Source organism: Homo sapiens, chromosome 1 (genome assembly GCF_000001405.40).
Source record: "Homo sapiens chromosome 1, GRCh38.p14 Primary Assembly".
In the NCBI taxonomy this organism is placed as follows: domain Eukaryota; kingdom Metazoa; phylum Chordata; class Mammalia; order Primates; family Hominidae; genus Homo; species Homo sapiens.
Genome location: NC_000001.11, coordinates 32,735,003 through 32,749,362, shown reverse-complemented (window position 1 = coordinate 32,749,362; position 14,360 = coordinate 32,735,003). Strand labels below are relative to the sequence as shown.

General features: G+C 53.7%; 1 protein-coding gene across 1 annotated transcript in view, besides 3 other annotated features; it reads right to left on the bottom strand.

Moving 5' to 3' along the window:
* NHSL3 (NHS like 3) overlaps window positions 1-7,533 on the bottom strand; it is a 33,141-nt gene extending 25,608 nt beyond the window's left edge. Inside the window, exon 1 of the mRNA NM_020888.3 lies at window positions 7,174-7,533. Within this exon, the coding sequence (NP_065939.2) occupies window positions 7,174-7,408 (235 nt within the window). The 5' untranslated portion in view covers window positions 7,409-7,533. The remainder of the gene's footprint in view (window positions 1-7,173) is intronic.
* Window positions 12,079-12,602: an enhancer, noted in NCBI's record as "OCT4-NANOG-H3K27ac-H3K4me1 hESC enhancer chr1:33202362-33202885 (GRCh37/hg19 assembly coordinates)". NCBI's record gives its function as "activates a minimal SCP1, AML or CMV promoter by ChIP-STARR-seq in primed H9 embryonic stem cells {active_cell/tissue: H9 hESC(primed)}" and the evidence as "EXISTENCE:reporter gene assay evidence [ECO:0000049][PMID:30033119]".
* Window positions 12,603-13,127: an enhancer, noted in NCBI's record as "OCT4-NANOG-H3K27ac-H3K4me1 hESC enhancer chr1:33201837-33202361 (GRCh37/hg19 assembly coordinates)". NCBI's record gives its function as "activates a minimal SCP1, AML or CMV promoter by ChIP-STARR-seq in naive H9 embryonic stem cells {active_cell/tissue: H9 hESC(naive)}" and the evidence as "EXISTENCE:reporter gene assay evidence [ECO:0000049][PMID:30033119]".
* Window positions 13,652-14,177: an enhancer, noted in NCBI's record as "H3K27ac-H3K4me1 hESC enhancer chr1:33200787-33201312 (GRCh37/hg19 assembly coordinates)". NCBI's record gives its function as "activates a minimal SCP1, AML or CMV promoter by ChIP-STARR-seq in naive H9 embryonic stem cells {active_cell/tissue: H9 hESC(naive)}" and the evidence as "EXISTENCE:reporter gene assay evidence [ECO:0000049][PMID:30033119]".

Here is a 14,360-nt window from a genome sequence, read left to right as displayed (position 1 = left end):
AGGGCAGAGGGAAGAGTCTGTCAACCCAGTCTCTGCCCTTCGGGTATTCAAAATAGTGAGGTACAGCAATCCCTGGATCCCACGGAACCCCAGATAGCCAGCTGGTCCCAAGTCCCTAGCACGTGCTTTGCCTGAGGCCAGTGCCACAAACCCTTCAATCCCAGCTTCCTTTCATCCTTCCATTTCAGCTCAAGCGCCACCTCCCTGGGGAAGCCATCCCTGACCTCCCTCAGAGATTGCTGTGCTTCCCCTTGTCACACTTGTTAACCCTTAATTACTTGTTCAGCGTATTTTCCCCCCTATACACACACTCATCGTGAGGTTCATGAGGCCCAGGACTTTGTCTCTCTTATTCATCCCGAGGATAGTGCCTGGTATATAACACTTAGGAAATATCTGTGAAATAAGTGAGTGAGGCTCCCTCTCCCGTCTGGACCCTAGGAAAACAATGTCTATCCTCTCACAGGGGTCTGGGGGAGACAGAGCAGCCACCCTGTCACACTCTTTATTTTTTACATTTCTGGGAAGCCAAAATGTCACATTCTTATTGAGAAACCCCAAACTCCTCTGGGAAACCACTCCCCTATTGGAGGTATCCCATAGCAGAGGGAACTCCGCCCCTATTACATTGGTCCAGGCCCCAGGTAAGGACACTGAGGTGCCCTTTACCCAAGAAGAAAGTGGCTGGAAAAGCATATACTGCCCAACCCCAACTCTCTTAAGCACCTTGCTCTAGGGTCTGGGGACAATAATTTCCCCTGGGAGTATCACAGAGATGACACTGACACCAGGCCCTGAGGGCTGAATAGGAGTTCACTGGATAGCAAAGTGAAGGGGAGCACATTCCAGGCAGGAGAAGCAGCACAGGAACTGACACAGAAGGGGAAAACACATGGGAGTGTTGACTGACGGGCAAACAGACACCATCCTGACCTCAGAAGGGCAAGGCGCCCACGACCCCAGAGACTTGACTCTGACTGCTTTGGAACTATCTAGGCCCCTTCCTCAGCAGAGAGAAATGACATTGTTCATAATGGACTCTCCTTACCCACCTTCCTTTTTTTTTGAGTTTTGAATGAAACTGTTGCCCAGTTGAACTCCCGTCGCCCAGGCTGGAGTACAGTGGCGTGGTCTCAGTTCACTGCAGCCTCCGCCTCCTGGGTTCAAGTGATTCTCCTGCCTCAGCCTCCCAAGTACCTGGGACTACAGGCGCCTGCCACTACGCCTGGCTAATTTTTGTTTTTTGTTTTGAGACGGAGCTTTTTGTTCTTGTTGCCCAGGCTGAAGTGCAATGGCGTGATCACAGCTCACTGCAACCTCTGCCTCCTGGGTTCAAGCTATTCTCCTGCCTCAGCCTCCCGAGTAGCCTGGGATTACAGATGCATGCCACCATGCCCAGCTAATTTTTGCATTTTTAGTAGAGATGGGGTTTCGCCATGTTGGCCAGGCTAGTCTCAAACTCCTGACCTCAGGTGATCCCCTCCCGCCTTGGCCCCCGAAAGCACTGGGATTACAGGCGTGAGCCACTGTGTCCGGCCATAATTTTTGATTTTTGTATTTTTAGTAGAGACGGGGTTTCACCATGTTGGCCAGGCTGGTTTTGAACTCCTGACCTCAAGTGATCCACCTGTCTCAGCCTCCCAAAGTGCTGGGATTACAGGTGTGAGCCACCACGCCCAGCCACCTTACTCCCCTTCCTATGACATCCAGGCCACTGGGTCTCAGTGTCTTATCTGGCTGGCTGGAGGTCAGCTCTCCTTTCCTGGACACAGCTCCCATCTCCATGCCTAGCCCCCAGCCCCTACAGGCTTGCTCCCTCAGCCCATTCTCAAACTCACAGAATCCTAGAACTAGCAAGAGTCTCAGAGGCCATTAAACCCCATCTTTGTCGGCCAGTCGCGGTAGCTCACGCCTGTAATCCCAGCACTTTGGGATGCCAAGGCGGGCGGATCATGAGGTCAGGAGTTCGAGACCAGCCTGGCCAATATGGTGAAACCCCATCTCTACTAAAAATACAAAAATTAGCCAGGCACGGTGGCACTCACCTGTAGTCCCAGGCTGAAGCAGAAGAATCGCTTGAACCTGGGAGGCAGAGGTTGCAGTGACCTGAGATCTCGCCACTGCACGCCAGCCTGGGCGACAGAGTGAGACTCTGTCTCAAAAAACAAAACAAAACAAAAAAAAAACCATCTTTGTCAAGACAGGGCATGTCTGGTCCAAAGAGGGGCAGGACTTACCCAAGGTCATACAACAGAGCAGAACTCAAACTCAGGGTTCTCTCCACAACTCCACACCATGAAAGGACAGTCCTCCCTGAGTGGCCAGAGGGAACTTGGAGAGGCCACAGTGAACTGACTGGAGTTAACATGGGGCTAAGTCAGCTAGGCCTGGCAGGGTAGCTCTCAAATTCTCAGTATCAGAGCCATGCCTACTCCCACCCCTCAGCCGCTGCCCACTGCACAAGAGAAACCCTCAGGAGGACTACATACCCCTTTCCCCAAAACTGGTTTTGTCTAAAACTCTAGAGAGGTTACCTGCCTCCAGAGTCAGAAACACAGCCATCATCATATAATTTTCTTTGTAGAGTGTGGCCTCTGGAGGCAGACTGAGTGGCTCCGTCATTGTGATGCTGTGAACCTCACTTCCACATAGATGGGGACCTTGCCTGTCTGGTCCTCTGGCATTCACATCACCTTGAACAGTGCCTTACACTCCAGAGTAAAGAATATGTCCTCTTCAAATAAATGAAGCTGAGTGACCTCGGGCTACTTACTCTCACCCCTTTTTTCTCACCTACAAATGGTGGTAACTGTCCACCTCCCAGGTTGCTGTAAGGACATAGGAAGACTTTGATGAAAATGCCTGGCCAGGGTATATATAGCACATAGCAGCCTTCCTGTTACTTCTCTTCCCATTCAGATTAGCCAGGACCCTGCCCTCCTTCCATAGGCGCTCGCCTCCTCCAGAAAGCCTCCCCTGATTATCTGCTGGGCTCCAATCCTGGCATCTGTCCCAGAAACACTTCCTACCCACACACTTGTCTAGAGTCCAGGTGATATTTCTGGAAGATATGGATTCCTGTTTGTTTTTGTTTTTTTTAACTTGTTCTTTTTTGTTTTTTTTTTTTTTTTTGAGCTGGAGTCTCGCTCTGTCGCCCAGGCTAGAGTGCAGTGACGCGATCTCGGCTCATTGCAAGCTCCGCCTCCCGGGTTCACTCCATTCTCCTGCCTCAGCCTCCCAAGTAGCTGGGACTACAGGCGCCCGACACCACACCTGGCTAATTTTTTGTATTTTTTAGTAGAGACAGGGTTTCACCATGTTAGCCAGGATGGTCTCAATCTCCTGACCTTGTGATCCGCCCGCCTCAGCCTCCCAAAGTGCTGGGATTACAGGCGTGAGCCACCGTGCCTGGCCTGTTTTTTTAACTTTTTCTTATGTCTGAGTCCTCCTGTGGGACAAAGGTGAGACTCTATCCTCTGTGAATCCCCCTCAATAATCATCATCATCATGGGCTGTTTTCCAAACATGGATCAGGGTGAACTTAACTAATGCTCAAGTCCTCAGCAGCATAACAACAGCAGAAACCTGCTGCCAGCTGCACCATGCTCCACAGTTCACAACGCACTTGCATGTCTGTTAGCTCATTTGATCCTGGAAAGGCCCCTATAAAGCTAGGATTTATTATCCCTATTTTACAGATAAGGATACTGAGGCTTGGAGGGGTGAATAACCTGCCAGCATCTTGTAGCTTGAGAGGGGCAGACCAGGGAAGCAGAGTTGTCCATTTTTTTTTTTTTTTTTTTTTGAGACCTAGTCTCGCTCTGTCGCCCAGGCTGGAGTACAGTGGTGCAATCTCGCCTCACTGCAACCTCCACCTCCCGGGTTCAAGCGATTCTCCTGCCTCAGCCTCCTGAGTAGCTGGGATTACAGGCACGCGCCACCACGCCCAGCTAATTTTTGTATTTTTAGTAGAGACAGGGTTTCACCATGTTGGTCAGGCTGGTCTTAAACTCGCGACCTCATGACCCACCCACCTCAAACTCCCAAAGTGCTGGGATTACAGGTGTGAGCCACCACGCCCAGTCAAGCAAAGTTGTTCTTAGGCCCAGAGCCCATTCCTTCCAGACTGGGTCGTTAGAGCTCAGGTGACTAAACTTATAAACACAGGCATAGCAACCCCTTGCATTTCTATGGTTACTTCTCTTTAATATAATTTTCTTTTTTTTTTCTTTTTTTTTTTTCTGAGTCTCGCTCTGTTGCCCAGGCTGGAGTGCAGCGGTGCAATCTTGGCTAACTGCAACCTCCGCCTCCCGAGTTCAAGCAATTCTCTTGCCTCAGCCTTCCGGGTAGCTGGGACTACAGGTGCACGCCACCTTGTCTGGCAAATTTTTTGTATTTTAGTAGAGACGGGGTTTCACCGTGTTGCCCAGGCTGGTCTCGAACTCCTGAGCTCAGGCAATCTGCCCGCCTCGGTCTCCCAAAATACTAGGATTACAGGCATGAGCCACCACGCCCAGCCTTTAATATAATTTTCATATGCTCTCTTGTGAGAATCTTGGTGAGACAGAAAGGTCACAGCCCATCAAGGCAATGTCCAGCCAGAGGATTCCCCCTTTCTTCCCCACAAGACAGTGGTGGAATCAGGGAGCCCACTGAGAAGTTGCTCATCCTACATCATGGGGCTTGCTAGTAGCTGGGCCAGGATTTAAACTCTCATTGGCCTGATTCTGATACTCTCCCCACTCTATCAAGTTCCCTCACTTCTCTCTCTGGGCCATTTCCCATCTGTAAAGTGAGTTGAACAAGAAGATCTTCAAGCCTTACCTGCTGCTCTATGTCCTTGGGAGAGTCATGAAAACAGTCCCGATTTTTGAGGCAGGTGATTTGAGTTTAAATCCGTTTGGTCAAATCAGTCACTCACTGTCCCTGAGCCTCAATTTTTTCATCTGCAAGTAAGATCTTGACATATTCAGACTAATCAATAAATGTCAGACTTCCTCTCTTCTTCTAAGTTTGTGCAGGGTAGTGAGGTCAGCAAGGGAATCATGGAAGACTGGTGCTCAAAACTCCATGACAAGCTCAGTTTTTCCATCTTAAAGTAGGAGAGTCAGATTAGAGGAATCAAGACCTGCCTCTCATAGGTCTTTGAGCCAGAGATTGGAATGGAGGAGATAATGACTTCCCCAGCAAAGATCCCTGACCTCCCAGGAATCTCCTGTGTATCCCTCCTCCCCACCTCTCCCAATCTCCATTCTGAACATTCTCCCTGAAAGAGTTAAGCCTTCTGCAGGCTTCCCGTTCCTGGCCAGCGTTGCCAGTGGAGATTAGTGGGATCAGATTTATTTCTCTTAATAAACAGAAAAGAAGTTGGGCCAGGCAGGTGACAAGGAAACAGTTGCAATAATAGGAGGCTGGAGTAAAAGGGAACAGGACTTCCTCCAGTCATACCCAGGGCCACCTCCAGACCTGGAGAAACAACAGCCAGGGGCAAGGAGGTGTTACCCATGCACGTGGGCTCAAATCAGGCCGACATGCTGCCCAGAAAGCCCAGAGCCACCTGATACCAAACACAAGGCAAGAGGGAGGCCTGGCCACTGACCCAATGAACCCAAACCCAGGCTGTTGGAGCAGTGACCTACAGGCTCAGCTTTTCCAGCCCCCTGCCTTCCAGGCTGGTCTCCCAGAGGAAAAAGGTCCATTGCCCTGGAGTATACACTGCTAGTCCACTAGCCTTCTGCCTGCCAATCCTGACAGTCTGACCACAATACATCCTGCTGCAATGCCCTCTTGAATGAGACGGGGATGACTTCAGACTGAATCCCAGTGGGGCAGCCCTGGGACAGACTCCATGTCCTGTTAGGACTGCAGAGGCTTTGGAAACACCCCTCACCCAAATCCAGTCCTCCCTCAGGGTTTGGCCCAGTCACCCCAGCCCCAGCACCCTCACTTCTATGTGTGGCTGTGCCGCAGGGAAGCAGGGCCCTTATCCAAAAGGAAGATCAAGCCGGATACAATCACACATGAGGCTTTCCACCCTCTTCCTGACCCCTAAAGTGTTCCTTCTAACTCTCCCAGAAGAGGTGGTTAAAGGACACTGGGAGGGTAAACACAGGCAGAATGGGATGGGCCCGCACACCCAGCCATTTCCTCACCTCCAGCACTGCAGCAGCAGTCTAGGAAAGGTGGACTTCCCAGGACAGCAAGCCCCAAGGGAGCTCCACCCTCTTGCAAAGACTCAAGCCCTCCCCATCAAAAGGAAGACAGAAACTGGAAAATGAGGGAAGGCCCAAGAAAGGAACTGAAAATGACCCCAGCAGGGATGGGCCAGGTCGGCTTCCCCGCCTTTCAGGCTGCCCGTCCAGGCCAGAGGAGGAGCCCAGGGACTCAAATTCAGAAAGACTGAGAATTAGCTGTTGAATTTTAAGTACCCACCCCAGCCCAGGTACAGCCTCTCCACTGAGCTTGGGCCTCAGTTTCCCCCATCTGTAAGCACACTTCCGACACTGGCATGTTTCTCCAGGGCTGGAAGAAGGAGTGATAGGGAGGGGCGGGTTGGTTCACCTTGGTGAGCTCACTACCCCAGGAGGTGATGTTTGTGGCCTGGCCCAGGTGAGCGTTGAGGGAGGCCAGGTGGGAAAAGCCAGCACTGTTAAGAAGCTAAGGCAGGGCACACTGTGCTCCATGTGAGGTCCTTTGTGGGGCTGGAAATCCAGATCCAGCTGGAGCTGAAACTCTTTGTGAGTGCGGTTGACCTTCCAGACCCAGAGGGTCCCCACCAGAGACCCAAGGCCACCTGTCTCTCCCATTGGCCACAGGCCAGCGTTAAGTCTCTGACCCCCTGACTCAGCAGAGGGCAGAACCTCGGTGAGCCTGGGGGAGGGGGAATCGCCTCACCGCCCTGGAGTCGGGCTACCAGCACTTCCTGCTCTGCCAGGGGATCCCTGCCCCAGCCGGGGGTCCCCTCCCCTCACAGCGGGGCAGGACTGGGTCTGGAAACTGCGGAAGGCAGCGCAGGGTGGAAGTGTTCGGACTCAGCCCTGGCCTCTTCGCTTTCCAGCACCAGCTCCTGGGGGTCACCCCCCTCCAACACGCCGCGCGCGGACCCCCGGCAGAGCCCCCTCGGCCGCACCCTCGACGCCCCCCCGCGCTCAGCCCAGGTGCCGACCGCCTTACCTCGGCCTTTGCCCTTGGCCCTCTTGGCCTTGTCCTCCGCCTTCTTGGCCCGGGGGGCGGCCGGTTCGGCGCCCTCGGCCCCCGCCGCCTTCTTCTTGCGCCGCTTGCCCCGCAGCCAGCTGAAGGCGCGGCGGAGGCCGGACGCGCCGGAGCGGGACTTCTTCCTGCGCGGGGGGCCGCCCGGGTTCCCCGGCTCCTCGGCCGCAGGTGCGGCGGGGGGCGCGCGGGCCGCCATGGCAGGCGGGGGCGGAGCGGGCGGCGGGTCAGGCCCCCTGCGGCGCGGTGCCCATGCCGGGGGCGGCCGCCGGGGACGCGCGCCCGGAGAAAAGTTTGGGCGGCGGAGGCCGAGCGGGCGCGGAGAGCGGACGGCGGGAGCGGCGCGGGAGGGGCCGGCCGAGCGGCGGGCGGGGCGCAGGCCGGCGGGGAGGGAAGGAGCGGGGCGGGAGCGGCCGCAGGGCGGGAGCGCCGCTGCCTGCGGCCCCTCCCCGCCTCCCCCGGTCCCGGCGGAGGGCGAGGTCCAGTCCCGAGAGGAGGGGGTCCCGGGAGCCCGGGGTCGTGCCCCCCGCTGGGGCCCGAGAGGGCGGGTCGTGGGGCCGCCCGGGAGGGGGCGGCACTGAGGTTCCGTCCCGCAGGGGGCACCGCGGGAGATCTGTTCGGAAGAGGGTGGTATGGGGTGGGGACGGAAAGGGGAAGGGCGCAGGAAAGGAGGAGCGAGAGGCTGGGGTTGGACCCCAGGAGACTTGGTATCCCAAGTTTGGGCTGGGAATAGACAGGGGATTCTGGAATATTTTTTCCTGGAATAAGGGAATTTGGAGAATTCCTTCCAAGCCCCGACAGTGTTGGGGCGCTTGCGCCAGGAATAGAGGCTTCAGACACGTCCAAGACCTGTGACCCGCAGTGGGCATTTCCCTCCCATCTGCTGACTGGGGTCGCCTCCTCGCTCTTTACCACACCTTCCAGGCTCCAACCATCTTCGGTGTGCAGCGGGGGCCCAGGTCCACTGTGTTCCTGCCTCACCCTTTGGTGGCAAGATGAGGATAGCCCTTCCTCCGTTTACCCTTGGACTAGGATTTGAGGCCCCAGGGCACTCCTGCCTGGACCAGGAGTTCCCACTGAGATGCTCAACACTAATTAGGGTTGAACTCTGGGCAGGTGAGAGGTGTGACTGGGAGGCTGGTAGGAAAGGAAACATTAAGAATCCTGAAATTGCTGTACTCATTGCCTACAGGCCTCTGGGTCTATTACAGCTGACCAAGCCCTTTTATATCATCTGATCCCACGACAACGGAAATGGAGGCCAGAAGGGGACAGAGGTGGTCAGCGGGAGAGGAGCCAAGATGGTCATCTGGGTTTTGTCTCAGGCTGGTCCAAGGCTTCAAACCCTAAGGACTAGAAATTGCGCTGGGGACCAGCTGTGGGTTCAGCACCCTTGAACCTCCTCCGTCAGTCCCCAGAAGGGCCTTGTGATGTCCATACCAGTGGGGTGGCCAGAATCACCCAATCTGACTCTGGTCACACGGCTTTCTCTTGGTCCTGGTCTCCACGAGGGCAGGGGCCCATTTGTCTGGGCCACCCAGCCCAGTCAGCCCCGGCGCACTGTAGATAGCACTCACCATAACATTGCAGGATTACTAGAGTGCAGTGGGATCTCCCTAACCTGCCTTAGCCCCCTGCATGTCCCCAGGGGCTCAGCTGTGGTGAACCTGGGACATCATTGACACTCTCCCACCTGGGGGCCCTGGGGCAGACCACCCAGTGTCCATGCTGGGCCTCAGTTTCTTGTCTAACCACCATTCATTCAGATCCAGCCCACAATCCCAGAGCACCCATTCTGGATCAGGAACCAGCCCTGTACTCTGGGTGCTCTTGGCCCAGCCTAGCACTCCTAAGAACCCAGCCTCTTCCTCTGTTAGTTGGTGAGGAAAGGGAATGTAGAGAATGCAGTTTTCAAGAGAAAAGTGTTACAGGTGCCAGGCATGGTGGCTCAGGCCTGTATTCCCAGCACTTTGGGAGGCCCAGGCAAATGGATCACCTGAGGTCAGGAGTTTAAGACCAGCCAGACCAACATGGTGAAACCCGGTCTCTACTAAATACAAAAACTTAGCTGGGTGTGGTGGTGCATGCCTGTAGTCCCAGCTACTTGGGAGACTAAGGCAGGCGAATTGCTTGAACCCGGTAGGCGGAGGTTGCAGTGAGCCAAAATTGCACCATTGCACTCCAGCCTGGGTGACAGAGCGAGACTCTGTCTCAAAAAAAAAAAAAAAAAAAAAAAAAAAAAACTTATTAAGAATTTCAAGGCCTGCCACAGTGGCTCATGTCTGTAATCCCAACACTTTGGAAGGCCAAGGTGGGAGGATTGCTTGAGCCTAGGAGTTCGAGACCAGCCTTGGGCAACATGGTAAGAGCTCATCTCTCCAAAAAAAAAATTGTTTTTCATTAGCCAGGTGTGGTGACAAGTGCCTGTGGTCCTAGCTACTCACTCGGGAGGCTGAGGTGGGAGGATCCCTTGAGCCCAGGAGGTCAAGGCTATAGTGAGCCATGTTCGCGCCACTGAACTGCAGCCTGCGAAACAGAGTGAAATCTTGTCTTTTTGTTGTTGTTGTTGTTTGTTTGTTTGTTTGTTTGAGACTGAGTCTTGCTCTGTCGCCCAGGCTGGAGTGCAGTGGCACAATCTCGGTTCACTGTAACCTCCACCTCCCGGGTTCAAGCGATTCTCCTGCCTCAGCCTCCTGAGTAGCTGGGACTACAGGCGCCCGCCACCACGCCTGGCTAATTTTTGTATTTTTAGTAGAGACGGGGTTTCGCCATATTGGTCAGGCTGGTCTCGAACTCCTGACCTCAGGTGACCCACGCGCCTCGGCCTCCCAAAGTGCTGGGATTACAGGCGTGAGCCACTGTGCCTGGCCTGACTTTGTCTTTTAAAAAAAGAATTTCAAGAGGCAATAGCAGGCCGGGCAAGGTGACTCACGCCTGTAGTCCTGGCACTTTGGGAAGCCGAGGCAGGTGGATCACAAGGTCAGGAGTTTGAGACCAGCCTGGCCAACATAGTGAAACCCCGTCTCTACTAAAAATACAAAAATTAGCCAGGCAAGGTGGCAAGCGCCTGTAATCCCAGATACTCGAGAGGCTGAGGCAGGAGAATCACTTGAACCCAGGAGGCGGAGTTTGCAGTGAGCCAAGATCACGCCATTGCACTCCAGCCCCGGTGACAGTGTGAGACTCCATCTCAAAAAAAAAAAAAAAAAAAATTAGCCAGGCTTGCTGGCAGGCGCCTATAATCCCAGCTACTCAGGAAGCTGCGGCAGGAGAATCACTTGAACCCGGGAGGTGGAGGTTGCAGTGAGCCGAGATCATGCCATTGCACTCCAGCCTGGGCGACGAGTAAAACTCCGTCTCAATAAAATAAATAAAAATACAAAAAAACTAGCAAGGCATGGTGGTGCTTGTCTGTGGTCCCAGCTGCTCGGGAGGCTGAGGCAGGAGAAACGCTTGAACCCAGAAGGCAGAGGTTATAGTGAGCCGAGATGGTGCCACTGCACTCCAGGCTGGAAAATAAGAACAAAACTCCGTCTCAAAAATAAAAATGCCGGGCACGGTGGCTCACGTCTGTAATTCCAGTACTTTGGGAGGCCAAAGAGGGCGGATCATGAGGTCAGGAGATCGAGACCACCCTGGCCAACATGGTAAAACCCCGTCTCAACTAAAAATACAAAAATTAGGCCAGGTGCAGTGGCTCACACCTGTAATCCCCGCACTTTGGGAGGCTGAGGCAGGCGGATCACCTGAGGTCGGGAGCTCGAGACCAGCCTGACCAACATGGAGAAACCCTGTCTCTACTAAAAATACAAAAATTAGCCAGACATAGTGGCGCATGCCTGTAGTCCCAGCTACTCTGGAGGCTGAGCAGGAGAATCGCTTGAACCTGGGAGGTAGAGGTTGCAGTGAGCCTAGATCGTGCCATTGCCCTCCAGCCTGGGCAACAAGAGCGAAACTCCATCCCAAAAAAAAAAAAAAATACAAAAATTAGCCGGGCATAGTGGCGGGTGCCTGTAATCCCATCTACCTGGGAGGCTGAGGCAGAGAATTGCTTGAACCCGGGAGGTGGAGGTTGCAGTGAGCCGAGACTGTGCCACTGCACTCCAGCCTGGGCGACAGAGCAAGATTCTGTCTCAAAAAAAAAGAGGCAACAGCAAAACATTCAACCAAGCACAGAGCCTTTCTGAGCATGGGCTATGCATAACTACACAGTTTGCATGCCTCTGAAGATAGCCCTGCCAGTGTCTCATATAATTCCTCAGGGAAATTCCCCTCAAACTAGAATTTCCAGGAATCAACCCACAGATTGGATCCTCTGATTTGCAGGTAGGGAGAGGAAGAAGGGAAATGAGGAGAGTTCAGGGTTATATTCCCTTCACTGCTCCTGACTCCAGCACCCAGAGACTCTCACTTCTCATCCCCAGCCCGGACCACCTTCAGACCAGCAGGCCCAGCTCTCCCTCTTGCCCCCTGGCCTAAAGGACAGACATGCTTCTGAGCCACCCAGGGAGGGCTAGCCTAGGAAGAGCTAGCCTGTGTCTCAGCTGTAGCTGGATCCGGCTCCCTGGAATAATGATTGCTCAGCTCAGCTACATGTCTTTGCTGGCCTTGCAGGCAGCGGAGGGAGCTGACTTCCCAGCAGTCCCTGTGGATAGGGCCCAAAGTTCAACCTGGAGCCAGGCTGTCACCTGACCAGGAAGGAAACTTCCAGCCTGTCCCCAGGGAGGAACCAGCAAAAACCAGGCTTGGGGCAGCATCCTAAGGGCCCTCCAACTTTGCCCCTCTGTTTGGGGAAAGCCCAGGACCACCCTGATGTTGCCCTCACACACACCAATCCCCCTTTCCACTTGGGAGACCTGCCTTCCACAGGAGCCAGCTTTGTCCTCTGCTGGGCCTGGCCTCCTTCCACAAAGACTCCTCACTCCAGACAGGGCAGCCAGGCCAAAGGTGTGGCTGAGCCTCTTACATTTTACAGGGAAGACCAGGAAGGGACAGACAGCCTTGGGATGGGAGCACCTGTGGCTTCCCTCAGTTCTTAGACCAATTGCAGGGGCCGGAATTGTACCAGAGGGCAGAGCAATCCTGCATAGTTGAAAGTTGGGAGGGGGGAGATGTAGGTCCCAGCCAGCATTCTTATGTCCCCTAATCCCTGGCTCTTGGCATCTGTGGCAGCCGTCTTAACATTTCAAACAACCTCCCTGCTGAGGTCTTCTTTGATCCTCTAGGCATCTCTTAGAATCAAGCCCCAAGCCTAATTCCACCCATTTTTCCTCCCGCTGAGTTGAGAGGAGAAATGGCTCGCATAGGGTGTTAGTGGTGTGTGGCCAGATCAAATGGAGTCTTATGCGTTCCCATCTTTAAGTTGGTGCCAGCTCCTAAGAAAAGAGAGGAGGGGAAAGAGGTGAGGGTGCAGGGGGAGGAAAGAGGAGAAAAAGTAGAGAGCAGAGAGGTAGTTATTGCCACCACCCAGTCTCTAGTATGCAACGGGTTGTGTTTCCCTTCGTTCTTTCAACAAATATCCCAGCTACTCAGGAGGCTGAGGCACCAGAATTGCTTGAACCCGGGAGGTGGAGGTTGCAGTGAGCCGTGAGCATGCCACTGCATTCCAGCCTGGGCAACACAGTGAGAATCAGTCTCAAAAGAAAAAAAAAAAAAAAGGCATCACTGTTCTCACTGATTTACTTTATTTTTTTTTAATTTTATTTATTTATTTTTTTGAGACAGAGTCTCACTCTGTCGCCCAGGCTGGAGTGCAGTGGCAAGATCTCAGCTCACTGCAGGCTCCGCCTCCTGGGTTCACGCCATTCTCCTGCCTCAGCCTCCTGAGTAGCTGGGACTACAGGCGCCTGCCACCATGCACCGCTAATTTTTTGTATTTTTAGTAGAGACGGGGTTTCACCATGTTAGACAGGATGGTCTCGATCTCCTGACCTCGTGATCTGGCCGCCTCGGCCTCGCAAAGTGCTGGGATTACAGGTGTGAGCCACCACACCCGGTCCTTGTTTGTTTTTTTGAAACAGAGTCTCACTCTGTGCCCAGGCTGGAGTACAATAACGTGATCTTGCCTCACTGCAACCTCCACCTCCTGGGTTTAAGAAATTTTCTGCCTCAGCCTCCCGAATAGCTGGGATTACAGGTGCATGCCTCTACGCCCAGCTAATTTTTTTGTACTTTTAGTGGAGACGAGGTTTCAGTATCTTGGCCAGGCTGGTCTTGAACTCCTGACCTCATGATCCTCCTGCCTCGGCCTCCCAAAGTTCTGGGATTACAGGCGTGAGCCACCGTGCCTGGCCGGTAGTAAGAGTTTTAACAGCTTCGTAAAAATGTCAGGAGAAGCTTTATTCTCAGGTCTGCAAAGAAACAAGTTATCAGCCGGGCACGGTGGCTCATACCTGTAATCCCAGCACTTTGGGAGGCCTAGGCGGGCGGATCACGAGGTCAGGAGCTTGAGACCAACCTGACCAACATGGAGAAACCCTGTCTCTACTAAAAATACAAAAATTAGCTGGGCATGGAGGCGCGTGCCTGTAATCCCAGCTACTCGGGAGGCTGAGGCAGGAGAATGGCTTGAACCCAGGAGGCGGAGGTTGCAGTGAGCCAAGATTGCACCACTGCACTCTAGCCTGGCGAGAGAGTGAGACTCCGCCTCAAAAAAAAAATTAGCATAGAACTCAACTATATGTGTGTACATGCTTTTCACTACTTTAGAAAATGTTTTGGGGACTGGGTGCAGTGACTCATGCCTGTAATCCCAGCATTTTGGGAGGCCGAGGCAGGAGGATCATGAGGTCCGGAGTTTGAGACCAGCCTGACCAATATGGTGAAACCCCATCTCTACTAAAAATACAAAAATTAGCCAGGCATGGTGGCATGCGCCTGTAATCCCAGGTATTCAGGAGGCTGAGGCAGGAGGATTGCTTGAACCGGGGAAGTGGAGGTTGCAGTGAGCTGAGATTGCACCACTGCACTCCAGCGTCGGTGACAGAGCGAGACTCTGTCTCAAAAAAATGTTTTTGGCCGGTGCAGTGGCTCACATCTATAATCCCACCACTTTGGGAGGCCAAGGCGGGCAGATCACCTGAGGTTGGGAGTTCAAAACCAGCCTGACCAACATGGGGAAACCCTGTCTCTACTAAAACTACAAAATTAAC